The sequence below is a fragment of the Homo sapiens genome, chromosome 10, assembly GCF_000001405.40.
Source record: "Homo sapiens chromosome 10, GRCh38.p14 Primary Assembly".
Lineage (NCBI taxonomy): Eukaryota > Metazoa > Chordata > Mammalia > Primates > Hominidae > Homo > Homo sapiens.
In genome coordinates this window covers 121,129,468-121,156,651 of record NC_000010.11, presented here as the reverse complement: position 1 = coordinate 121,156,651, position 27,184 = coordinate 121,129,468, and the positions used below count along the sequence as shown (strand labels likewise).

The 27,184-nt window shown below is 43.7% G+C and overlaps 2 long non-coding RNA genes and 1 pseudogene across 3 annotated transcripts in view; 2 read left to right on the top strand and 1 right to left on the bottom strand.

Annotated features, from left to right (window-relative positions):
- The window catches only part of LOC124902515 (uncharacterized), a 66,678-nt gene that overhangs the window by 28,893 nt on the left and 10,601 nt on the right, over nucleotides 1-27,184 (top strand). The gene's annotated exons all lie outside the window — the stretch shown is intronic.
- On the bottom strand, nucleotides 756-27,184 carry LOC105378522 (uncharacterized). Its single transcript, XR_946379.3, has 3 exons — nucleotides 26,829-27,184; nucleotides 4,209-4,604; nucleotides 756-1,001 (listed from the first exon to the last, which is right to left on the bottom strand). It is a non-coding gene; the product is annotated as an uncharacterized LOC105378522 (long non-coding RNA).
- RPL19P16 (ribosomal protein L19 pseudogene 16) lies at nucleotides 22,898-23,636 on the top strand (annotated as a pseudogene).

Here is a 27,184-nt window from a genome sequence, read left to right as displayed (position 1 = left end):
ATTCTTATTTCATGGGTAAAATAATTTCTCTTGCCTTTCTGAGGATAGCAATTGCAGTGTTCTTTTATTTAAAAACATTACTTTGATTTTTCACACGTTTATTTTTAAATTTTGTTTGCTTTGATTTCCTTAAGATATTCCTTAAATTTATTGTGCTCCTCGATTGTTTATATTTAAGATGGGTGTGTGTGTGTGTGTGTGTGAGTGTGTGTGTTGTCTATTTGTACATTCACTATAGGTTGATTCAGCTTCATCCTTTGGGAACCCTAAACCTTCAGCACTTCTGGATTTTTCTGTCAGAACGGCTGCTTTTCCAGAGAGGTGGCCTCCCATCTTCTACCTGGGAGGCAGGCACATTGCTGTCAGATGTTCTCATTGCTGAGTGAGGGAATGCAGCTGCAGTTCTCGCTGCTCACTATGTAACTGCCAGTTATTTTTTTTTTATAGCCAATGTGTGACTGCTCCATAAAGATCCCCCTTGGATCTTTTTTTTAACCATTTCTGTGCATCCCTTTCCAGGTATCAGATGCTTTTGCCTTCAGTGTGGGAACCTGTGTCCTTTTTTAATTTTAATTTTTTTAAATTTTTATTTAGAACTTCCCTTAGGATACCAGAGCACTTGCTGATATGTGCAGAGTTGCAATTCCTGGGAGTTTACATTGGCCCTCGCCCAACACCAGGCAGCCCTTGACCAACGACTCTCAGGGTGAGAATATGAAAGTCCAACAGCCTTCACTAGGGATGGGACAGCTCCGAAGCTTTGCTTAGCTCTAGGGTTTGGTGAGGCTTTGCCTGAAGTTGCCCCCTTGTTTGTCTTCCTCCTGTTTCCCTTCTCCTGCTTCCTGTACTTCATTACTTGTCTTCCCAGAAACCTTGATATATTCTTGTCTTTATCTCAGGCACTTTTCTGGAAAGCCAATCTGAGACATTCCATTTTCAGTATAGTACCCATCCTTGAAGTCACTATTCAGGAAGAAGTCTGATTCTTAATATCTGACAGCCTGTCAAGGGGAAGAAAAGTTACACTTAGAATATGTAGCTCCTGTAGATAGATCTTAGATCTTAGATAGAACTTACCAGGAGGCAGATTTCAGTCCATTAGAGGACCCCCATTGTAAGTAGTAAGTTCACAGTCCTTGGAGGAACACCAGCAGAAGCTATATGCTTGCTTGATAAGATGTTTGAAGATAGGGATTTGAACAATTCATGGGGAGGCTGACGTCAGATTTCATGGCATTTGTATCTTAACACAGGACCTCCTTAATGAAATCATAGTTATGTAGCAACAGAAAACCCTAATTGAGGGAGCAAAGTTTTAATTCTGAAGTTTTGTTTCAGTACCACGTGGTACTTTTGAGACTGTGAGCACAATTAGAGCCTGTAAGATTTTTAGAGAGGTGCCCATGTGTTAATTTCCAGCACCAATTATGGCTTGATTAAAAGAGTGCCTAAACAATTGCAGTACAAATGCACTGACAGCAAATGCTTTGTGTGTTCTTGGCATTTCTGTGCCTCACTTTCATTACCAAGAGTGCAAGTCAGAATTACACATTCACACGCCTCCAGAATCACGTGCCTGTTGCTCATTGTTCCTGGGATCTTTTTGTCAGCTCTCCACTGTCAGTGTACACACACCGAACACAGTTTGCTGATTCAGCCCCACTGTTCCATTTGTAGCTCTCTAACCCAACAATGGGCCGTTGTTTTCAACTATGAAGATGGCCAGGCTGGGCTGAAAGGCAGAGTGCTGGTGATTTTATTTTGTACAGTTGTGAAGACTAACGGCTTGCCTCTCTGTCAATAAAGATTGAGACTTGAAATTCAAGGTCAGGGGCAGGGATACTATTGTCTCCCTTACCCCAAGTTGTCCCCATGGGTGTTGAGACATTTAAGCAGGAGAAGTAATTCTGTCAGCACATGGAGGTATTTGGGCACTTGTTACTCAGGTTTTTGAAAACCCAGGCCAAGGAAACACAAATAACACAGCTCTTTTAACCTTTACATGAGAAGAGAGTTCTCTTTCAGAAAATAAATATTACTATCTCCGCCTCCCTTCTTTTTTTCCACTGCAAAACAGCATGGCAAAACCTCTAAATAAACAAGCAAGTAAACAGAGAGTGGAGAAGCTAAGGCTTCATCTGTATCGGCTGACTCAGGAGGCACCAGTGCCAGGAGCATTTGCCCCAGTCCCTGCACTAGATTCTGGCTCTGGACACCCACACTAAGGAAGTGTCTGTGATGGATAGATTCTAAGGTGATCTTAGTGATGCTACCTCCTGGTGTTCATTCCTTTGATATAATGCTTTCCTCTTGAGTGTGAGCAGCACCTTTGACTTGCTTGGATATGGCAAAGGTGACTGTGTGTCACTCCTGTGGGTGAGTTACATTGTGCAAAATTTGGGCACATGAGAGCTAGAGACTCCTGCTAGAGACAGAGGAATACCAAAAAGGCCATTGTAGCTGGGATAAGGCAAGCAAGGGGGGCGGGGAATGGTGAGGGATGAAGGCAGGTGGGACCTGATGCTAACAACTTTGGATTCAGGGAAGCCTATATCTCAAATGGTGGTGGCCCTGATGAAGTAAGTGACCTTGCTGAGGAGGCCCATTGGTAAGGGACTGCAGGCAGCCTCTAGGACCTGAGGATGGCTTCTAGCTAACATCCAGCAAAAAGTCAGGACACTCAGCCATAAGGAAATGAATTCTTCCAGCAACCTGAATAAACTGGGAAGCAGATTCTTCCCCAGGTGAGCTTTCAGATGAGAATATATCTCAGTCAACACCTCAATTGCAGCCTAATGAGACCCTGAGCAGAGAAGCTATGCCCAGACTCCTAACCCACAGAAACTGAGATAATAAATGAATATAAGATTATGGTAGTTTGTTATGCAGCAATAGAAAATGAATATGCCACCTTTGATTCTTCTGTCATTTGTGAAATGGTTTGTTTCCACATTTACCACTCTCTCTTCCTGCTCCCTCTTCATACTATTTCTTAGCAGAGGGATGTTGAGATCAGAGGAACGTGAGATCTGCTGGGAACTCCATTCACTTGTTTCCCAATAACCTCCAAATGTATTTGTGTGTCCTCCCATTCTTCTCATGTTTTCTCCAACCCTGGGCCAGCTCCTCCATGCCTTACTGGGCTCTACCCTCCAAGGCCACAGGACCTTGATATACCCTGGGGTCCTCGTATAGTCGGTTGCTACCTCTCTGCTTCTTTCCTCAGCCTCTCTAGAAAGCTCATTCCCCCTTCTCTTAAAATAATCAAATAACAAACCCATATGACAATTGATGAACAAAACAACTTCTCTTGACCTTGCCGTGCTGTCAAAGGGTAGTTTTTTTCTCATTCTCTTCACTACAAAGTTCTCTAAAAAGTAGATGCCATGTGTCAATTCTCCAACCTCATTTGTTTCATCTCTCCTGTGCTGTGACCTCCTTTTGTCTGTATTGCTTTGCAGAATGCTCTCAGTAAGGGCAAGCATAGGCCTCTAGTTGCTTAATTCTCATTTCAATCCTCACCTTGGGTGAGGGGTCTGAGTCATTGGAAGCTGCTTTCTTGAACACTCACTCCCCTAGCTCATGGGAAAGCCCTCTCAGGGGTGGCCCCTGTGTAAAATAAAAGTTTCTTTGTAATTAATTAAAGAACTCACACTCCTAAATTGTATCTACTGCATTTCTCTGGTATAGTTAATCCCTATGGAAGTTTTTATAGGCAATTCATTAATTCTTAATTATCTACTCTAAACTTTGTGCTGTTAATACGAGATTTTCCCCTAATATAGTGTCTATTTCATATCTCCTGCTATTAGGAAACTCTGTTAATTAAAAATTTTAAAAATTATGAAGGATTCTTCATAGTTTTCTGGTTCACAAGGGGAGAAGGAGTAATTCGCTGGGGAAGAGGAGGAGAAGGACAATGTATGAAAATAGACCAGAAAAGAAAGGATTACACTGACATTCAATTGTTGACAGATTGCTTATGTTTAATAGTGTCATTTTTTACAACTATCCTCTTGGTATAAAATTTTATTCTATAGTTTCAGGGTTATTTTGCTTAATTTTTTTATTTGTTTTTTCAATTTTCCTTTTTTTGTCATTTTGCTTAATATTTTAATATTTTGATATTTAAGAATTTATTTCAAGAGTTTAGGCCTATATATTTTTTTCAATATAAATTTATTAATAAGCAAATACTTATCACTTACTATATATGTGACATTCTGTACATCTTGTGGGTAGGTGTCATTAGTTCCAAGTTTTGAATGAAGAAAAAGATCCAAAGAGCTCCAAGCTAGCAGACAGAGGCAGAATTCCAATCCAGATGTAACTCTTGTGGCAGAGTCAAAGCTGCTGTGTGTTTGCTATAGGCTTTACTTTCCCCAGGTACAGTGGAAGCCTACATTTCCCAGCATTCCTGGCAGTGAGCTTCTATCTCTGTGACTGTGTTCAAAGAAATGTAGGTGAAGTGATGTAAGGCACTTTCAGGGGTGGTCTTTAGAAACATCCCGTGCAATCTCCCAGACTCTTCCCCTGCCCGCTTTTGAAGTGACATTGAGTGATGCAAATCCAGGATGGGACAGCTTGGATCCCTGAGTCACCACCTGGAGGAGATATGAACAGAAAAGCTTTCCAAATCTCACTGAATTTTGCATAAATGAGAAATAAACTCTTATCACGTTTTACTGCTAAACAAATAACATCATCCCAATTCTAGTACCAATTTCTTAACTAAAGTAAGCACTTCTAGATGTTATTTATTACATTAGTTGACTACAATTTCTGTCGCAGCATCTAGAATTAAGGAAACTGATACTATTCTCTTTGATGAGGTGACATTTGAGCAGAGACTTGAGTGAAGTGAGAATGTGAGCCATGCATGTATCATGGGGAGAAGTGTTCCCCGCAGAGGGGACAGGAAATGGGAGTGTGCTTCTAGTGACAGGAATAACAAGGAGGCAATTTTGGCTGGAACAGAGTAAACAAGGGGAGAATGGGGAGGGATGAAAGCAGTAGGACCTGATCCTTTGAGACCTTTCAGGCCCTGCTAACAACTTGGGATTTAAGGAAGGCTACATCTCTAATGGCTTGAGAAGAATCAAAGTGTCTGAATAGAAAAGATCAATAAAATTAGGAATTGGATTTTTAAGATAGACAAAATTGACAAAACTTTACCTAGTCTAATGAAGACAAAAGAAGACTCATAAATTGTAAGTGGAAGAGAGAGCATAATAACTGATATCACAGAAATACAAAGGATCATGAACAATTATATGCCAACAAATTGGATAACCTAGAAGAAGTGGGTAAATTCTTAGAAACACACAGCCTACCAAGACTAAATCATGAAGAAATAGAAAATTGAAACAGATCAATAGTGGATAAGGATTGACTCAGTAATAAAATATCTCCTAACAAAAAGCTCAGGCCCTGGTGGCTTCACTGGTGAATTCTACAACATTTGAGGAAGAATTAATGATAGTCCTTCTCAAACTCTTAAACAACAACAACAACAACAAAAAAAAAAAAAAAAAAAAAAAAAGAGAGAGAAAAAAAGAAAAGAAGGGAAAGAACACATTCAAACTTATTTTACAAAGTCAACATTATCTAGATACTACAGCCAGACAAGGACACTACAAAAGAAAAAAATCACAGGCCAATATCCTTGATGAACATAGATGCAATCATCCTCAACAAAATACTAGCAATTCAGTGGCATGTTAAAAGGATCATACACAATAATGAAGTGGGATTTATCCTTGGGATACAAGGATGGTTCAAGATATATGTCTTATTCTATTTTCTATTGTTTGCAATAGAAATCCTGAAACTGGGTAATTTATAAAGAAAATGAATTTATTTCTTACAGTTATGGAGGCTGAAAAGTCTAAGGTCAAGGAGCCACACCTGGTGAGGGCCTTCTTGCTGTTGGGGACTCACTGCAGAGTCTCAAGGAAGCATATGGTATCACATGGTGAGGAAGCTGAGCATGCTCATTCAGCTATCTTCCTCTTGTTATAAAGCCACCAGTCCCACTCCCATGACTCCCAGTAATCTATTAACTCTTTGATCCATTAATTCATGAATGAATTAATCCATTTATAAGGGCAGAACCATCATTCCCCAATCACCTATTAAAGGCTCCACCTCTCAATACAGCCACAATGGGGATTAAGTTCCAATATGAGTTTTGGAGGGATCAAATATTCAAACCATAGAAATACGGAAATCAACACATTTGATATACTGTACTAACAGAATAAAGATTATAAAAATCATGTGATCACTTCATTAGATGCAGAAAACCCATTTGACAAAATCTAGCAGATTTTTATGATATAAACTATCAACTAATTAGGTGTAGGATACATGTACCTCAACATAATAAAGGACATATAAAACAAGCCCACAGCTTATATTACATCAGCAGTAAAAAGCTGAAGGCTTGCCTCTAAGATCAGGAACAAGACAAGGATGTTCACTGTCACAATTGCTGTTCAACATAGTACTAGAAGTCCTGATCATAGCAATTAGACAATAGAAAGAAAAGGCATTTAAATTGGAAAAAAAGAAGTGAAATTGTTTCTGTTTGAAGATGACATGATCTTATATATAGAAAACCCTAAAAACTCCACCAAAAAGCTTTGAGAAGCAATAAGCAAATTCAGTAAAGTTGTAGGATATAAAATCAACATGCAAAAACCAGTAGCATTTCTATACCCTAGCAACAAAGTATCTGAAAAAGAAATCAAGAAAATTTCAACTTGAGGTTTGGAGAGGCAAACATCTAAACTATAGCAAGCATCAAAAAATAAAATATTTAGGAATAAATTTAACCAAGAAGGTGAAAGGTTTGTACACTGAAAACCGTAACACATTCATGAAAGAAACTGAAGAGGGTATACATAAATGGAAAGACACCCTGTGTTCATGCTTGTTCTTTTTTTCAGATGGGCATTTTCAACCAGTGGCCATCACTGTTTTGGTTTGTCCATAATAGCCACAGTAGTTATTGTTCATTGAGCACCTACTCTGTGCAGGATTTGGAGCCTCCTTCTAGAGCCTGTGTTCTTAACCATTGTGCTTACTGCCCTTGCCCCTGTCTGGCAGAGGTACTCAACAAATGATGGCTTGTAGTTTTGAGGTTCTATGGAATGGAAAATTATTTGGGGCCACCAAACAAGTGTGTGGGGTGAAATTTAAAGTCAATTATTTATTCTTGGAAGTTAAGCCTCCTGGAAGCAGATGGAGACACAGTTCCCATTGGCACCTACACAAGCCACGCTGTCCTCTCGGCTTCATCATGGCCAGGAGGGAGCTGGCCATTCTCAGCAATGCTGTGTTGTCTCCGATGATATCAACTGACCGCCCCAGGAACCCCACAGCCTCCCCGACTCCAACCTTATCTTTGAACAAAATACCTTCCTCTGCACATCATCGAGCTGCTTGTGAGGCTTGCTTTGCTCCTCAATCAGGCTCTATTCATCTGTGACCCTAGACGTGAGCAGAGGAGCACGGGGCAGGCCCTTCTTTCCACCTGAGTGGCTGCGATATGAAGACTTGCTTTGGAACACTGAGGTGCCCTGAGCATCTCTGTGCTCCCTGGGCCCTGCACCGCTGCATGAAAGACCCTTCTTGTTCTGTGAGCGGCCGACTGTGAGATAACCGCCAAGGTGCTTTTCATGTGGCCACATCCAGGCACTCCCGTCTGCCTTGTAATCGCCAAGTTAAAGGTAACTCGATAGGCAGATAGGGAAGGAGCCTGGAACTTGGGTCTATAGCCCTTTATCCCTACTTTTAAAAAATTAAGATGGAAATAGTTTTAATTGTTAAATTCCCCCTGCTTTCTTAAATATCTCAGTATGCAATTTGGCAAGCAGCTAAGTTCATTTCTTAGTTGGAGAGAAACTAAAGCCCCTGAAATTTTAGTCATTTGCTTATGTCCTATTATTCCAGAATCATTTGGTCGTACTCATGGCTTCACAGTTGATCCAATAAGGCATGGGGTGAAGATCACAGGATGCCTTGTTATTATCTCCTGTGCAGTTCCTGCCTTCTGCCATGCTCTATTCACTCCTAGAAACAGCCAGGAGCCAGTCAGAGATAAGTGGAGTGCATGAATTCCTGAAGAGACTGAAGGATATAGTAACATATACATTGCTTTTTACTTTACTTTGGATGTTGATGTTGCCAGCAGGAAATGGCTGTCATGGAAAAACTTTACTGGGTGAACAGGGAAGAGTCGTATGCCTCTCTAAGAGTCCATCCTCCAATCTGCAATGGTAAGGGTGTGATCAGAGATTCTCTACCACACTGAGAATGGAAAATTATCTGAGACCTATTTTCAATAGTCCTGCAGGACAGCTTCCGGAAAAGAACATGCATCCTTCAAAGGTCACATTGACACCTAGATTTGCTGATCATCCTGGCCTGCCTGGGAATGAAGGAATTCCTGGGATGCTAACCTCAAGACAGTCTTGGAAAAATCTAGAAACAAGAATTTTAATTATTATAAGCAATTTTACCCTACCTTTCTGAATACATTTATTAGTAAAAACTGCAGGATTTGTGTAACATGCAAACACCTGTGCTTTGTTAGTGGTTAGCATGTGTCTCTTTCAGACTGTGGGGCATTTTCAACAGAGATCAGAGTGGCTCCATTGTAAGATGCTAGAACTGTGGTTCTCACAGGGACTAGGAGTGAGTCAAGCATTACTATTTGGGGTCTAGGATGTCAAGTTCCTAAAATAAGAATTTCATCCAAAACACTGGTAGCAACCCTGCTGAGGAACACTGGCTCTAGCCATGTTTCTTCCCCTGCCCCTGGTCTTGATCCTAGATTAGTTGGTGGTCCAGCCCATTGAGCGAACATAACAATTGGTGGTGTAGGGGTGTGGAGGGGGTGGAAGCTGCTCTGTAAAGAGAGGTGGCACTTCTACATTTACTTGTTCATTTATTTTAGGAAATATGTATTGAGCACTTACTATGTACTCTGGGAATAAAGGGCAAATAAGGCATGGTTTCTTCCCCATGGAGCTTATACTCTAGCAAGAAATGCAGCAAAAAAAAAAAAAAAATTGCTGATGACTGCTAAGAAAGAAGAAATCAAGGATGATGAGGAGCCCAAAGCAGGGTAACTGACTGGGTGAGACCCTTCAACAGGGGTCACCAGAAACCTTTTACAGGGGCATTACTGCTGGCATCAGGTCGGTGCCCCTCTGGGACAGATCCCAGAGGAAGGAGCTGGCAGCTATCTTTGCTGTTTTGCTGCCTCCACTGGTGACACCTCCAGGTGTGGGAGGGACCCAGGGGCATAGGGTCTGGAGTGGACCCACAGCAAACAGCAGCAGCCCTATGAAATAGGGGCCTGACTATTAAAAGAAAAACAAACAGAAAGCAACAACAACAACAGCATCAACAAAAAATTGTCCCCCAAAATACCCCATCCAAAGGTCAGCAGCCTCAAAGATCGAAGCTAGATAAACTCACAACCATGAGAAAGAATCAATGAAAAAATGCTGAAAACTCAAAAAACCAGAGGGCATCTTGTCCTCCAAATGATTGCAACACTTTTCCAGCAAGGGCACAGAACTGGACAGAGGCTAAGATGGATGAATTGACAGAAGTAGGCTTCAGAAGGTGGGTAATAACAAACTTGGCTGAGCTAAAGGAGCATGTTCTAACCCAATGCAAAGAAGCTAAGAACCATGACAAAACATTACAGGAGCTGTTAACCAGAATAACAAGTTTACAGAGGAACATAAATGACCTGAGGGAGCTGAAAAACATAACACGAGAACTTCACAATGCAACCACAAGTATCAATAACTGAATAGAATAAGCAGAGGAAAGAATTTTAGAGCTTGAAGCCTATCTTTCTGAAATAAGACAGGCAGACAGCATTAGAGAAAAAAGAAATAAAGGAACAAACAAAACCTCTGAGAGCTGTGGGATTATGTAAAAAGACTGAACCTACAACTGATTGGGGTACCTGAAAAAGGTGGGGAGAATGGAACGAAGTTGGAAAATATACCTAAAGATATCATCCTGAAGAACTTCCCCAACCTAACAAGTCAGGCCAACATTCAAATTCAGGAAATTGAAAGAACCCCAGTAAGATACTCCATGAGAAGATCAACCCCAAGACACATAATCATCAGATGCTCCAAGTTGAAAATGAAGGAAAAAATATTTAGGGTAGCCAGAGAGAAAGACCAGGTCACCTACAAAGGGAAGCCCAACAGAGTAACAGTGGACCTCTCAGCAGAAACCCCACAAGCCAGAAGAGATTCAGGGCCAATATTCAATATTCTTAAAGCAAAGAATTTTCAACCCAGAATTTCATATGTGGTCATACATAAGTGAAGGAGAAATAAAATCCTTTTCAGACAAGCAAATGCTGAGGGAATTAGTCACTACCAGCCCTGCCTTGCAAGAGCTCCTGAAGGAAGCACTAAATGTGGAAATGAAAAACCGTTACCAGCCATTGCAAAAACACACTGAGGTACAAAGACCAATGACACTACGAAGCAACTACCTCAACAAGTCTGCAAAATAACCAGCTAGTATCAGAATGACAGGATCAAATTAACACATGACAATATTAGCCTTAAATGTAAATGGGCTAAATGCCCTAATTAAAAGACACAGAATGGCAAACTGGATAAAGAGTCAAGACCTATCAGTGTGCTGTATTCAAGAGACTCATCTCATGTGCAAAGACACACATAGGCTCAAAATAAAGGGATGTAGGAAAATTTATCAAGCAAATGGAAAGCAGAAAAAAGCAGGGATTACAATCCTAGTTTCTGACAAAACAGACTTTAAACCAACAAAAATTTTAAAGACAAGGGCATTACATAATGGCAAAGGGATCAATTCAACAAGAAGAGCTAACTATTCTAAATATATTTGCACCCAATACAGGAGCACCCAGGTTCACAAAACAAGTTCTTAGAAACATGCAAAGAGACTTAGACTCCTACACAATAATAGTGGGAGACTTTAATGCTCCACTGTCAGTATTAGATAATCAAGACAGAAAATTAAAAAGGATATTCAGGACTTGAACTCAGCTCTGGATCAAGTGGACCTGATAGATATCTACAGAACCCTCCACCCCCAAAACAACAGCATACACATTCTATTCAGTGCCACATGACACTTTCTCTAAAATGGATCACATAATTGGAAGTAAAACACTCCTCCCTTGGCAAATACAGAAGAAATGAAATCATAACAGTCTTTCAGACCACAGCACAATCAAATTAGAACTTGAGATGAAGAAACTCACTCAAAACCACAACTACATGGAAATTGAACAACCTGTCCTTGAATGGATCCTGGATAACTGATGAAGTTAATGCAGAAATCAAGAAGTTCTTTGAAACCAATGAAAACAAAGAGACAATGTACCTGATATGGTTTGGCTCTGTGTCCCTACTCAAATCTCACCTTGAATTGTAATAATCTCCACATGTCACAGGAGGGACCAGGTGGAGATAACTGAATCATGGCGGTGATTTCCCCCATACTGTTCTCTTGGTAGTGAATAAGTCTCATGAGATCTGACAGTTTTATAAATGGGAGTTCCCCTGCACAAGCCCTCTTGCTTGCCATCATGTAAGATGTGCCTTTACTTCTCCTTTGTCTTCCACCATGGTTGTGAGGCCTCCCCAGCCATGTGGAACTGTGAGTCCATTAAACTTCTTTCCTTTATACATTACCCAGTCCTGGGCATATCTTTATTAGCAGCATGAGACCAGACTAATACAGTAAATTGATACTGGTAGAGTTGGGAGCTGCTGTAAAGATACCAAAAAATGTGAAAGTGACTTTGGAACTGGGTAACAGGCAGAGGTTGGAACAGTTTGGAGGACTCAGAAGAAGACAGGAAGATGTGGGAAAGTTTGGAACTTCCTAGAGACTTGTTGAATGGCTTTGGCCAAAATGCTGATAGTGATATGAACAATGAAGTCCAGGTTGAGGTGGTCTCAAATGGAGATGAGGAACTTGTTGGGAACTGGAGCAAAAGTGACTCTTGTTATGCTTTAGCAAAGAGACTGGTGGCATTTTGCCCCCTGCCCTGGAGATTTGTGGAACTTTGAAGATGATTTATGGCATCTGGGGGAAGAAATTTCTAAGCAGCAAAGCATTTAAGAGATAACTTGAGTGCTATTAAAGGCATTCAGTTTTATGTATTCACAAAGATATGGTTTGGAATTGGAACTTATGTTTAAAAGGGAAGCAGAGCATAAAAGTTTGGAAAATTTGCAGACTGACAATACAATAGAAAAACCCATTTTCTGGGGAGAAATTCATGCCTGCTGCAGGCATTTATATAAGTAACGAGGAGCCAGGTGTTAATTTCCAAGACAATGGGGAAATGTCTCCAGGGCATGTCAGAGATTTTTGTGGCAGTCACTCCCATTACAGGTCGAGAGGCATAGGAGAAAAATAATGATTTCATGGGCCAGGCCCAGGGCCCTCCTGCTCTGTGCAACCTAGGGACTTGGTGCCCTGTGTCCCTAGCCTCTCTAGCCATGACTAAAAGGGGCCAAGGTACAGCTTGGGCCATGGCTTCAAAGGGTACAAGCCCCAAGCCTTGGCAGCTTTCACATGATGTTGAGCCTGTGGGTGCACAGAAGTCAAGAACTGAGGTTTGGGAACCTCCACCTAGATTTCAGAGGATGTATGGAAATGGCTGGATGTCCAGGCAGAAGTTTGCTAAAGGGGTGGGGCCCTCATGGCGAACCTCTGTTAGGGCAGTGCAGAAACGAAATGTTGGGTTGGAGCCCCCACACAGAGTCTCCAGTGAGGCACTGCCTAGTGGAGCTGTGAGAAGACAGTTACCATCCTTCAGACCCCAGAATGGCAGATCCACCAACAGCTTGTACCATGTACCTGGAAAAGCTGCAGACACTCAAGGCCAGTCTGCAAAAGTAGCTGGGAGGGAGGCTGTACCCTGCAAAGCCACAGAGGCGGAGCTTCCCAAGACCATGGGAACCCATCTCTTGCATCAGCATGACCTGGATGTGAGAAATGGAGTCAAAGGAGATCATTTTGGAGCTTTAGATTTGGCTGCCCTGCTGGATTTTGGACTTGCATGGGGCCTGTAGCCCCTTTGTTTTGGCTGATTTCTAAAATTTGGAATGGCTGTATTTACCACTCTCTGTGCCCCCATTGTATCTACGAAGTAACTAATTTGCTTTTGATTTTACAGGCTCATAAGCAGAAGGGACTTCCCTTTTCTCAGATGTCACTTTGGACTGTCATCTTTTGAGTTAATGCTGAAATGAATTAAGACTTTGGGGGACTGTTGGGAAGGCATGATTGGTTTGAAATGTGAGTACGTGAGATTTGGGAGGGGCCAGAGGTGGAATAATATGGTCTGGCTCTTTGTCCCTTCCCAAACTTCACCTTGAATTGTAATAATCCCCATGTAAAAAGTAAAAATGTCCACATCAAAAAGCTAGAAATATCATGAATTGACACCCTAACATCACAACTAAAAGAACTAGAGAACCAAGAGCAAGCAAACTCCAAAGCTAACAGAAGACAACATCAGAGCAGAACTAAAGGAGATAGAGACATGAAAAACCCTTCAAAAAATCAATGAATCCAGGAGCTGGTTTTTAGAAAAAATTAACAAATATACTGCTAGCTAGACTAATAAAGAAGAAAAGAGAGAAGAATCAAATAGACACAATAAAAAATGATAAAGGGGATATCACCACTGACCCACAGCAATACCAATTGCCATAAGAGAATAACATAAACACCTCTATTCAAATAAGCTAGAAAATCACACTGAATATGGCACTTTACCTTGAAAAAGACAAAGTTTTCCGGTGGAAGTGGGTATTGAAAGAAGCAAACAGGGTTAGCTTGTGAGTTATTGTGAAGTGGTAGAAGCCAGGTTATCTAAAATGGAAAATCCTAAAACCACTATAGATGGGTGTGGCTCATAGGTTTGAGCTGCTAGTGATGGCAGGAGTAGGTTTTGAATTCCAGCTGTATGTTAGAGTCTTTGTGCTCAACTTCCAGGGCCTTCTGCCACTCCTTTGCCCAGTGGCCTCTGGAGGCTTCTCCTTGCCCTCAAAACACAACACCCAAGTCCTCACCATGTCTTCAAAGGCCCTACTTTGAAGGGTTCCCCATCAGCTCTCTGACCTCATCCCCTCCTTCTCTTCTCCTTACCTCCTCTGTGCTCTACACTGATCCTCAATGTTTCTCCAATTCCCAAGTACACTTCTACCTCAGGACCTTTGTTAATGTGATTGCCTAGAATTCTTCCCCCAGATATTTGCTAGGCTCACATTCCCACTTCTTTTGGGTTTTTTCTAATCTCTGCTGAGCAGAGAAGCCTTCCCCAAGTGCCTTAAATAAAAAGATACCCTTCTCACTATCTCTGTTCTCAGTGTTTAATTTTTCTTTGCGTCACTTACTGACACATAGAGTATTTATCTTTTGTCTTTTTTTCATATACCATCCTTACACCTCTTATAGAATGTGAGCTCCATGTGAAATGGAGATTACCCTGTTTACTAGAGCAGACCATGGAATGTAGCAGGTGCTCAGTTGGCATCTGTTGAAGGAGTTAAATGGAAAGACAGGAGAGGAGGAGTTGTTCTAGGCAGTGAGAAGAGCACACCTGAACCCACATGTGCCTATACTTTGTGCATCTGAGAACTTCTGCCTTTGAGGACTCCAAGATCAACTCCTCAAATTGGGACTGGCCAGAAGCTTATAGACACCAACTGGCAGGTCATAGAGCTTGGATAGCAGAAACAAAGTCAGAGATGAGAAAAATACAAAGATGATACAAACCTTTCATCCCTTTCTTCCAGGAGCCCCAGAATTTTCAGCAAGGAGAACTTCCCAATTCAAGTTATGTATGTTAAAACCAGATGGTGCAGAAAGATTTCTGCATCAGGGCCAGGGGCTTTTGTGTACTTGACTCTGACTAGATGGGTTTGCAGTTGACTTCTTTATAAACTGATTTCTCAGAGAATTATCCCAAATGGGAAAATATTGTTTGCCATGATAAAAGTAATGATTTGTGCATGCATGATGCATGAATAGTCATCATGGACCAGAAATTGAGTTAAGTGTGTTACCTGGGTTTTCTTTTCAAATACCCAAAGTAGGATTAAAATAGCAGAGGCGGGTACCACAATTCTCATTGTTTTACAAGTGAAGAGAAAGAGTTACAGACCAGTTAACTACCGAAGCCAAGATCATGCAGTAGAGCAAGTATGTGAGCTTGGATGGTATAACTTCAAAGGCCACACGCTACATTGTCACATTGTCTAGAATGGACTTCTTGCAGACAGTGGAACACAACTTTAGAGCATGGAGATTTCAGAATCATCTGGATCATTAACTGTTGAAGAGAACGGGAGTGGCTTCCCCATGTCCACACCGCTATCGAAAGGCAATGTTTCTACGTCCAGACCCAGCATTTGAGGCCCTTCCCACTGTACTTGTAACCTGTGACTGCTGGGTAACCCTTAAATGGGCAACCATCTAAGATAAGTTAAGACAATCCTTTTATCTTCAAAGACTTTAAAATATGGGTCACTTTTTCAACAAGGAGAATGTTTCTTAGCATCCAACACATGTGGTAGCAATAATCTTGACTATCTGAACAAACTTGAAATTGTACAGATCTCTAGGTAATTACCCCATCATTTGGTAAACCAGTATTACCAACCAGTCTCTGAGGAGTACCTCAATGCCCATTGCTTGTCATAGCTCTGAAACTGCCCCCAGCTAAGCCAGGGGACAGGCCTGGCAGGGCACCTGCATCTGCCAACATCCTGCCTCACACAAGGCAGCCACAGCAGGGAATATGAATAAACCAACGTGTATGTCAGGGGAAGAGTGTTTCACTCAGTGGGTCATTGCCAGAAGGACTTGGCTTTGCAGATGGTCATTCCCTCCATGGAGAGCAGAGCACCTTCAGCAGTGGCACCTGCCTGACTGTACCCAGCTCATCTCCCACTGCCGTGGACAGTGATGGGAATGGCACGGGGAACATGCTTTGGGCTCCTGGAGCCAGTGGAACATGGCCGGAAGGGGTGGGTGTTGGAGTCAAATGGTGCCTAGCTCCCATCAGAGAGATTTTAGGCATATCCTTGTCCTTCTTTGAGTTCTGGTCTTCTTATCTGAATACAGGAAACAAATACAACCTCAGAAGTTATTGCAATAATTAATTGAGGCTATGTGGAGCAGGGGTTGGCAAATATTTTCTATGAAAGGCCAGATAGGCCTTGCAATCTGTCTGGTTTCTGTCACAACTACTCAATTCTATTGTTGCCAAAAGAAGTCATAGACAATATGTAAATAAATGGGCATGGTTGTGTTTCAAAAAAACTTTATTTATAAAATAGGTAGCAGGCTGGATTCGGTTTATGGGTTGTACTCCTGATGTAGAGCATCTGGATCAAAATCTGGCACATGCTAGGTACTAAGTAGAAGCCACTGTTATCATCATTATTATAATTAGTGCTTCTACTGTTACTACTCTGCTGATTCTACCATTTATGGCTGGGTGATTGTAAGCAACCACGATTGATTAATGGTGTAAAAATAATCAAAAGTAATAGAGTTATTCTTATTCTGACCAACACTTAGAGAAGGCTTACCATGTGCCAGTCTTCTAAGCACATTATACACATTAACTCTTTAGCCTTTTAAGCACATTACACATATTAACTGTTGAACCTCAGGTAGATTTTATTGTTATCCCCCTTCTGCAGGTGAGAAAACTGAAACAGAAAGATCTTAATAACTTGTCAAAGCATATAGCTAGGATTCAAACCTAGGCAACATGGCCTCAGAGCCCATAACTCATTTCTTTGCTTCCTCTTCAAGAGTGAGGCCTTCCTCAAGATTTGGGGACTGTGGCATTGCTCAGCCTGTTGAAGGGTTGGACCACGGGCCTGGTCATGTCCTCAGCTTGGGAAGATTCTTCTCCAATGGCGCATAGCTCCCTGTCCTTGACTGTAGTTGCTGGCCAATGTAGGAAATGTTTTGGGCACAGCTAATTACATCTGAGCACCTGGGCAGCTCTCATTTACTGGTGCTAATTAAATGACTTCAGTGCTAGTGGTACCCATTACCTAGCTGATTGCTTTTTCTCTGCTATTAACAGTGAAATTACTGAGCCTGGAAAAGGTCTGTTGGGAAAGAAATAACTCTTATTTGGGTGGGATGATTATTTCATTTTTACTATGTATTATGTCCTTTAAAACAAACAACCTTTAGACAGCATTTCATTTTGGAAACCTCTTTACCAATCCCCAAATCCAAAATTTGGCAGAATTTGGTGATGATAAAATTTCCACTTCAAGTAAAATTTTAATTTCTTATGGATTTATTGCCATTTTCCGTGGCTGGGCGTCGTATTTCCCTTTGAATTTAGAGCACTTCTCCTTCGAATGTCTCTCCAGAGCCCAGGATGTATGTGGATCTGAGAGGCCAGGGAATTGGCTTTGCTCTCTCCCCAGTGACCTCACAATGGCCAATTAAACCAGCAAAGTAAAACAATCAGTTCCTTGCTGGAGACATTGTAACATCAGCCCTGGGAAAGGAGAAACAGCCATGCCCTCCTGTTGGCAGCAAGTTGAGCAACATGATCTCATGGGTCTTTTCCATGTATGACATGTGATGCATACATATATATGAGTGCAGTTCTCAGTGAGCCAGGCCAATGGGGGAGAATAAACCTTGCTTTCTTTCCATTTGACTCCCATATTTATAGGCAGGCGTCTTTGGGCTCTCTACATTCTTTTCTTGAACACATTTGGAGAGATTATTTTTTCTGTGCATGGTGGGTATTCTCTTTGTGGTCACGCAGTCTGCTGTTTCAAAAACCAACCCTGGGCGATCTTCCTCTGCTGGGTTTATTTGGAAATATCTGCATCCTCAGTGCCACTCACCCTTCAAAGCTGGAGAAAGCTGCTAGCCAAAAGCCAGATGGCATTTCTCCCTGCACCAGGTGGCGGGGAGAAAGATGGAGGCAAGGTTTATGGAGGAGATCAACCCAGACAGGAGAAAAGGGAGTGCTCTGGATAAAAATAGCTCATGTATGAACTCTCGTCCCCCACTCCTTAATGATTTCTCTGCTGATGGTGTTTGGCTCTCAGAGGAGGAGTGGGCGCCGAGGATGGTTACTCAACTGGAGAGAAGCGGAGGGAACCCGCCTGCCAGGTGGGTTTTCCAAGCCTGTACGGCTCTAAACTTCTCCACATGTGAACAAGTGTTTACAGTTTTAAAGATGTGTTGAGTAATTGCACATGCGAGATAGCTCCCCTTTAATGCGCCCAGCATGTTCCAAGGCTTTCTACGAGAACACCCTGGTTGACAATGAAATTGTTTGCCTTCTCTGTGTTGAAACTTAAGGAGGTACTGGTTTGTGTTGAGATATAATTGGTAGCACTTGTGCCTTTGTAGTTTTTTTTTTAGCTACTGAAAATTACTGCCTTAATCCACTCTTTGCTTACCCGGATTACCATAGAAGCCCCACAGAGCCCCCTTCACATCAGAGAATAGAGAGGCAGTTCTTAAAACTTATTTTGATGCTCACATAACATTTCAAGATGCTGGGTAGAAAACAAAAGCAACAGCATTAATTCTCTTTTAATTTCTCTCAATTTTCAAAAAATTTGAATCACTGCAAAATCATATAATTGTTCTTTTGCTATTTAAAAGTCATCAAAAACCCTCCTGTGTTTACAGATGGGTTTCTCTTGTTCCCTCCCCCACCTTCACCCCTTCTCTTAATTATTCCTTGCTCTCTTTATTTTCATGGGAAAATAGCTGGTGTCACCTCAGGGAGACAGGCAGGGCATTCTGCTTTGCTTGTTATTTTTTATAGAGTTCTTTGTCTTCTCTCTGGCTTCCAGCAAAACACAGCCAAAATAGTTTGGCAGATCACTTTGCGTTAGTAAAACTCTGTGTCAGCCATAACCAAGGCCTGGAGTAAAGAACTAATGTCAACTTGCAAATATGTTGGAGAAATGTCTTGAGATCCACAAACATCTTCCCCTCAGCTCTCAGATGAGATTCCATGATCAAGCAAGACTGGTGGGTGGCTGAGATGTCACCTGCTTGCCAGTCCTTCACCTGCCCCAGGATCTCCCCATCTCAGTGGCAAATGATGGAACTTCACAACCTGGCTGCTTCCTATCAATTAATTCCAGGGCTGCATATTTCCAACTCGAAAATCTTTTTACTACTGTTTTGCAGTTTTCCCAACTGAGCACTTTGGCATCTGAGAAAGAGACTCTGAGAGGCATGGCCCCGTGAGAACTGAGCCCTCCCTCTTAGTTGGCCAGCTCTGCCCCTGCTCCAGACTCACTGTGGACACCACCTTCATTCCTCCTGCAGGCCTTCTGCAGGAAGTTAGACAGGGATATCCTCACCGGAGAGATGTGTGCTTATGTGGAGAAGACCTTACGATTTCCAAAGTCTTTTCAACATTTGAGTCTGAGCTTCTGTCTGGCTGGAATCAGACATTAATTACATTTAAATGAGAAGTAAAATCTTATTAACATTTCTTGCTTTCACCTAAACCTTTTCCATGAGGCTACACTGCCTCCCCTCCTCTTAAGCCAGGGTTAGGGCAGCCTATAGATGAGTTTTTCTGTTACTAGGATGGTCTGGTGGCAGCGACAACTGGAGAAGCCCCTGTCTTTTCCTCCCACTGCATCCCACTCTCATAGCTGTAGCAGTGGAATTGGGATGCTTATTATTCCAGGATAATTATTTGTTCCTTTGCAATTTTGTGGGATTCTTGAGGATAGTTTCTGTGGTTGCTCACTTTTGTGCAACTCTGATTTTTGTGTAGAGTAAGTGCTCAATAAATATTATTTGGCTAAATTCTATATTCTCTCTGAAGTGGTGCTTATTTCTGATTGGCATTAATCCTAGAACTGGCACTAAAGATAAAATTCCTGCAGCATGGCATAGAGGTGCAAGAGCTATGTTGGAAACAAGAAGTGTAGACATGGCCTTGGAGGGTCTGTAGTCAGTCGGCAGAGTAGTCGGCACCAGGGTGCTCCCACACGGAGGATGGCAGTGATGCATGGGCAAGCCTGGAAGGTCTAGAAAGGATATAGAAGAATGCAGGCATCCATTTATTCATCAGCGGGTGTAGGGTGTCTGGGGGAGGGGAGCAGATACTGGCTGGGGTCCTGCAGTCCCAACAGTGAACAGGAGAAAAGCAAACACTCTCCTTCTGTTGTGTACCGCTTACTAAGGGAGGCAGATGATAACATGTGTAATTAACAATTCCAAGAAGCGCTGCAAAAGAAAGGTGCTGCCTCCCCAGCAGGGGCTCAAGAGTAGTAGACCTGAATCCAGGGATCCTTGGACAAGAGAAAAGAAGGCGCAGATGATGAACACAGGGCCTTGGGCCCAGAGCATCAGAGCAGGTACTCAGGATCATGACAGGGGCCCAAGGCAGGGATGCAGTTGCAGCAAGGGAGGCTAGATACTAGATTCCAGAAATCCAGGTTGGAACCCCTTAAATCTCTCTTGCCTCAGGTAAGGGTTGGTCCTGAAGGAGACAGGGCTGAGCTTAAAGTTCCGAGCCAATTTCACTGCAGTCATTCATTCACGGAGCAGCCACCACATGACTGCTAATGTCATGGGCAAATAGCAAAATCAGTACAGTTCCTGTTCTTACAGAGTTTTCACTCCAATGGGAAAAATGATCAAGTAGTAATTACACAAATATATCTAATTACAGACTGCTGAAAGTGCTACGAGGGAAAGAAACAGGAGCCATAGTAACCAGAGGGTCTAATTTAAAGTAGATTTTTACTGAGGTCTCTCTGAGGACCCAAAGTTTGGCCTAAAGGAGTTAGGCTGATGAGAAGTGGGTGGAAGAGCACTTTAGGTAAAGCAAACAACATGTGCAAAGGGCCTGTGGTCTGCAGAAAAATGCCCCTCCCCCACCCCACACTCCGCCCACAGATGTTCACACCTGAATCCCTGGAGCCTGTGAATATCTTACCCAACATAGCAAAAGGAACTTTGCAGATTATGGTTATGGTCCTCGAGATGGGTTGATAGCCTGGATTATCAGGGGGCCCCAATCTAGTCACACGAAACATTAAAAGGAGAGAAGCTTTCCCAACTGCAGCCAGAGAATGATATACCAACAGAAGGGTCAGAAAGATGCCACATTTAAAGATGGGCTGTACACTGGAATGTAGGCAGCTTCTAGAAGTTTGGAAGGCAAGGAAACACATTCTCTCCCACAGCCTCCAGAAAGGAATGCATCCCAGCAGACACTGAGGCTTTAGCCCTGTGAGACCCATGTGGGCTTCCGACCTAGAGAACTGTAAGATAGGAAATGAATACAGTCTCGGTACATGCCAAACAGCTTGGTACATTCCAGAGACCAAAAGGTGGTGGCTGGTATGGCCACAGCATTGTATATAAGACAAACACACAAACCATTTAAGTGACTGAAACAGGGAAGGGACAGACATGATGATCTGATTTCTATTTTGCAATTCCACTTTAGATGTTAGGTGGAGAAAGGACTGGGCGGTAAGTGTAGAATGGAGAGACCAGTTAGGAGTCTATTTTAGGAGCCCTCACAAAAGGTGGTAGGAGCTCTGATGTGGGTGGTGTCAGAGAAGAGAGAGTAGTGTATGCAGTTGAGAGCTGTCTGGTGGTGGAATTAATCAGATGTGATGATTGACTGGATTCAGGGAGCAAAGGAACAGAGGAATCCAGGATGCCCCCTCTCCTCCCCAGGCTTTTGACTTGATCAGAGGGTGAGAGCAAAAGTCTAGAAAGCTGGGCAGAGGCAGGTTCACAACACCCAACCACTGCACAGATGGCTCCACCTGCCACCAGCAAAGCTAATCACTGAGAAGCATCTGTCATCTCAGAAATCCTCCAGAAAGCCAGGGAAATGCCTACTGCAAGATCCACTGGTTGGGACTCTTTTTGAAGGTACGAGTGATAGAAAAACCAATGTATCTTAAGCCCGAAGATAATTTATGCTTATTTTTAAGCTGGAAGTCCAGAGGTTACATCTGGCTTAGCCTGAGCTTGATTCAGGGTTCGGATGAAGTCACAGGGCTCATCCCTTGGCCCCACTTCCTTTAAGGGGCTTCGTTCTCCATCCCTGTGTGCTGACAGCCCCAAGTCCAGCAAAAGAGAGTGTCTTTATCCCAGAATACCCAGTAAAATTACTGAGATTCATTTTGATTGGACTAGCCTTTATCCATTCCCACCACCACCACTAAGGACACCTCAGGACGGGGAAGGGAAGGTGCTGGATGGTTTTGCCTGGGTTGGGAGTTCCACTCCTTAAGCTGTGGACAGAGAGAGAGAGGAAGGGGTGGAGGCCCAAAGAGAAGTCAGAAATGCTCCCTGCAGGAAACAGGCTGGATAGGCACAGAACAGCCAGCTCCTCAGTCCCCCACGCAAACATCCACAATCCCTGGCTACTTTACTGATTCATAGCAAAAGTGTGTGCAGACCCAAACATATGGCTTTTTGACTGAGAACCGCGTGTAAAACTAAAGCGAGCTGAGCTCATCGTCAGGGCTGTCGCTTCCATTGGCTGTTGTTTTTCACAGTCACAGTGTGAGCAGAACACAAGTGCCAGGTTGGAGGGGATGGGAAGGGTAGATCATGTGAAATGGCAGGTGGTGTCAGGGAAGAGGCTGGCTTGGGAACTACAGACGAAGGCAGTGGTCTGGGGCAACAGAACATTCTGGGGCATCGCTGGGCTGTCCATCTTAAGTGTTGGGCACATCTCTGAGGAAGGGTCTTTGTTTTGGTGGCCCCTTCCCATGGGAAAAGCAATGTCCCAATGGCCAAGGGTCCCCCCTGCCCAGGCATCTTGTCCCTTGCTCTTGTCCTGGCTCTTTCCTTTCGCTGCTGCAGCCACAACCATGAGTATGCTCAGTCTTCAGAAGAGGCTTGCCTCTAGTGTCCTCCGCTGTGGCAAGAAGAAGGTCTGGTTGGACCCCAAGGAGACCAGTGAAATCGCCAATGCCAACTCCCATCAGTGGATCCGAAAGCTGATCAAAGATGGGCTGATCATCCACAAGCCTGTGACTGTCCATTCCTGGCTTGATACCGGAAAACACCTTGGCCTGCCAGAAGGGCAGGCACATGGGCGTAGTTAAGTGAAAGGCTACAGCCAATGCCCGAATGCCAGAGAAGATCATGTGGATGAGGGGATGAGGATTCTATGCCAGCTTCTCAGAAGATACTGTGATTCTAAGAAGATTGATCACCACATGTATCACAGAAGATACCATGAATCTAAGAAGGTTGATCGCCACATGTATCACAGCCTGTACCTGAAGGTGAAGGGGAATGTGTTCAAAAACAAGCGGATCCTCATGGAACACATCCACAACCTGAAGGCAGACAAGGCCTGCAAGAAGCTCCTGGCTGACCAGGCTGAGACCCGCAGGTCTAAGACCAAGGAAGCACGCAAGCACCGTGAAGAGCACCTCCAGGCCAAGAAGGAGGAGATCATCAAGACTTTGGTCTAAGGAGGAAGAGACCAAGAAATAAAAGCTCCCCCTTTGTCTGTACATACTGGCCTCTGTGATTACACAGATCAGCCATTCAAATAAAACAAGCCTTAAAAAAATAAATAAATGGCATATAATTTCCGACTCTTCCCCGATTCAGGGAGGCCATGGGAGTTTCAATTAGCCTCAGGGGGCTGTGTGTCTTCAGCAGACATTATTTGAGGGACTAGGCAGGGCCTGGGGTCATAGGATCCACCTCTTGTCCCTACTGCCTTTGGGTGAGCTCAGTAACTGAGTAATTGAGAAAGGCATGGGTAATATTCTGAAGGCTCTCTAGAAGGCAGTGATGTGTGTGTCACATCTCAGAAAAGGTCCTAGAAAAAATAATGCTAAGACCTGGGCACATAGGCAAGGGACATTTTATTTGATATGGCCTGTGTGCAGTTCAGACCAGAGTAGATACTGTCAGGGCCCTGGCTATAGTACCCCAGCTCTCCTCATTGCTTTCTATGCTCATAGATTGCTATTGCAAGCAGCTAAGGCTCCCCCGCTGATGGCATTCTGTGGCTTTGAATGTGCTTGTCCCCATTCTAGGGCAGGCTGGATTGCTGGGTAGGTAACACCACCAGGAGCAGCTCTCACCAGTGGCTGATGGGGGCTGAGGATTGAATACTCAGGCTCCCCCAGTGCCATGTACTCTTAGGAAGACAATATCCTCTCTCAGAAACCCCAGTGAGCAGAGATGAGCAGGCAAACAAGCTCTTTGGTAGGAGAGAAAGTAGAATAAGGGTCTCAGTGATCCACCAAATCCCTCACTGCCAGCTAGGAGGGGTATTGCTATGTGTGACCCTCTCTGATTATACAGGCAGCCTTGCCCTTCACTACAGGGTTGTGGGTGCACCAGGGAGCAGCACCCCTCAGACCCTGACTCAGGAAGCCTGCCCACCTGCCATGGCAGCCCTGGCCTGCCGGAGAGGCTATTACAGCTGAGCTATGTCTTCCTGATCTCCAGGATGGTTAGGCTTCTGTCCAACCAGCTCGAGCTATCTCCGGCAGGCCCTTTTCTATTTGGCCCCAGCGCTGCAAGTCACGCTCTGAGACCCTTGGGTGATGGACTGAACAGATGGAGCAAATGGTTCTGAGTTCTCTTCTCCACTTTACCTTCCCCAGGGCATCTCACTTCTGGGCTGCCTTTATCTTCACACCAGAAGCGTGCTCTCTATGCTTTACTGTCAATAGGATTTTTAAAAATAGAGTTTCTATGGTGAAACAATGTCCCTTGTTTGGAAATACACAGAGCTTTATAAAATATGTTCCTGTGTTTTCCTGGATCAGGGCATATTGTAGAGTCTAGGGATTTATTTACAATGAAGAAATTGTTTTTGCAAATTGTGGTTAAACAAAGGGATTGTTTTTGGAGAGCTGAGTAAAGGAGACATTGTTTATAAGTTATTTGGGACACAAGCTGCAAAGGGATGATTTACAGGGAATCGGGGGGGAGGCAGTCAATAAGCACAGTTGTCCATTTCTTTGCAACAGGCAAACTGGGACTAAAACACTGTCACCTCTATCATTCTTCCCTTCTTTCTTCAAGCTTATTTCATCTTTTCTGCTTCAGTCCTTGCAAATGAGCATATATCAGCAGTTCTCCCAGCATGGTCCCCTTTACTCGGGGTTTGATCGCACTGGCTCCTCCAAAGCTCAGAAGTAGGAGATTTGCTGCAGGACCTCCCTTATCACACCACGAGTCTTTGCTTCCAAAGAGCTCTCAATGCTCTGGAGATAGAAAATCTTTTTTGCCTGCACAAAGTCCCCAAGCAGGGGGAAAATGGAGCGTGTCAGAGTTCATAAGATGAAAATACAGCCAAATCCAAACTCTTTACATTGTCACAGTCACATCTTAGGAGCTTTCCCAAGTGGCAAAACTAGGGCACAGAAGCGATAAGCCCTATTAACAAGACCTGCTTCTCTGGAGGATCCAGCGAGTGGCATATCTGCCATTGGGAAGATATGTCCTGACTTATTTAAGGCAAGTTGTCTTCTTCCAGGCCTGAGCTTTATGTATTTAGAATTTTACTTTTGGGGGAGCAGAACGAACTTCAGTGACTGGGCATGAGGTTGTGGGTGTGTGAGATGGGGCTTCTTTGCCTAAAATATTCACTCCACAAGTGACATTTTAGCACTGAAAGAGATATTGAAGAATGTACTTTCCTTCTGGATCCCTATTGGAGAGAAAATATCCCTAGAAGTGTGGGCTTCTGAGTGATGAACACCTGAACGGTCTGCAGCATCTGTGGTGGCGGGCTGACTGCTGTTGGGAAGTATGCAGGTGTGTGGATGGGAAGAGATAAGAGGGCTCACTGATGGAAACAGTATGTGGGCCCCACTCCACTTACCTGGCAATTTTTTCAAGGGCAGTGGACATCTTATTTAGTATCACTCATGGGTAGTTCAGACCCATAGCCCCTCAGCAATCCCCATTCCCTTACAAGCTAATGGGTTTCTGTGGCAAGCCACTGAGGCTTCCTTCCCCCGAGGGCATTCTGCGGCTGGGAGTATATGCATCCTCTTTTAGGGTGGCTGGAATCCTGAGTAGGTGACACCACAAGGAGTGGCTCTTACCAGTGACTGATGCGTGTTGGGGGAGAAATGCGCCAGCTCCCCAGTGCCCTGTGCTCTCAGGAGGATGACTCTGAGGACAGCATCATCTCTGAGGCCCTCGGCAGGTAGCAGGTACAGGTAAATGGGCTTTTGGGAGAGGATGGGCCCAGGTAAAGCCCCCATTTGTAGCATTTGCCAATTTCTGTGGTGTAAATACTCCCACTCTCACTGTAGATGAATTTAGGTTACCAACAGATGTCCCTGAACTTGGAGTGGGGGAATGATACACACCACTGGCCCTTGCAAGTCAGTTCCCACGGCTCTCACACGTCCCTGCCAGAGGGACTGAGGCCCTGTGGCCCCTGGTGGTAATATGCCGGTGCTGGCATCTTTCCTTTCCCCGTCTCCATGCCCCACTACCACATCAATGCTCCCTAGATCCCCTCCAAAATAAACAACTTGTACCCAAATACTCATTGCAGGATCTGCTTCTGGTGGCCTGCAAACTAGACCCCAATATGCTCAGAATCTGTTGTTCTTTGAACAAAGTGGGCAGAATGCTCCACTGAGTAAAGAAATGTGTGTCCTGCATGGGCCCCAGCCTCTCTTTCAGCCTCGCTCACACCCACAACCTAACAGCTTTCTCTGATGTCCTCCCCACACCACCGAGGTCTTGCTCCCCAGGGGTTCTACCCCCGGCCTCACCTCCAGTTGTGCCTCTCAGTCTTCCGCCACTTCTTCAGGCCAGATTCTCGTCCAGCCTCCACTCAAAGATCGCTCCTGGTCTGTCTGGGCAGAATGAACTACTTCCTTCCTGTTTCATTGAATTGTTTGAACCTTGATTACAGCATTTATCCACACTCGGCTTCTATTAGCTTTGCTTGGGTTTGTGACTCTCCCTCCTGGCTCCGGGAACCTGGAGGGCAAGGACCGTCTGAGCAGCATCCACCCAGGAGCTGGCTGGGTGGTTGTCAATAAATATTTGCTGAAATAAATGGACCTGACACTGGCCAGAGTTGTTCACCTCCCAACTCCTGCTTCAGTTTTCTCCAGCTCACCAC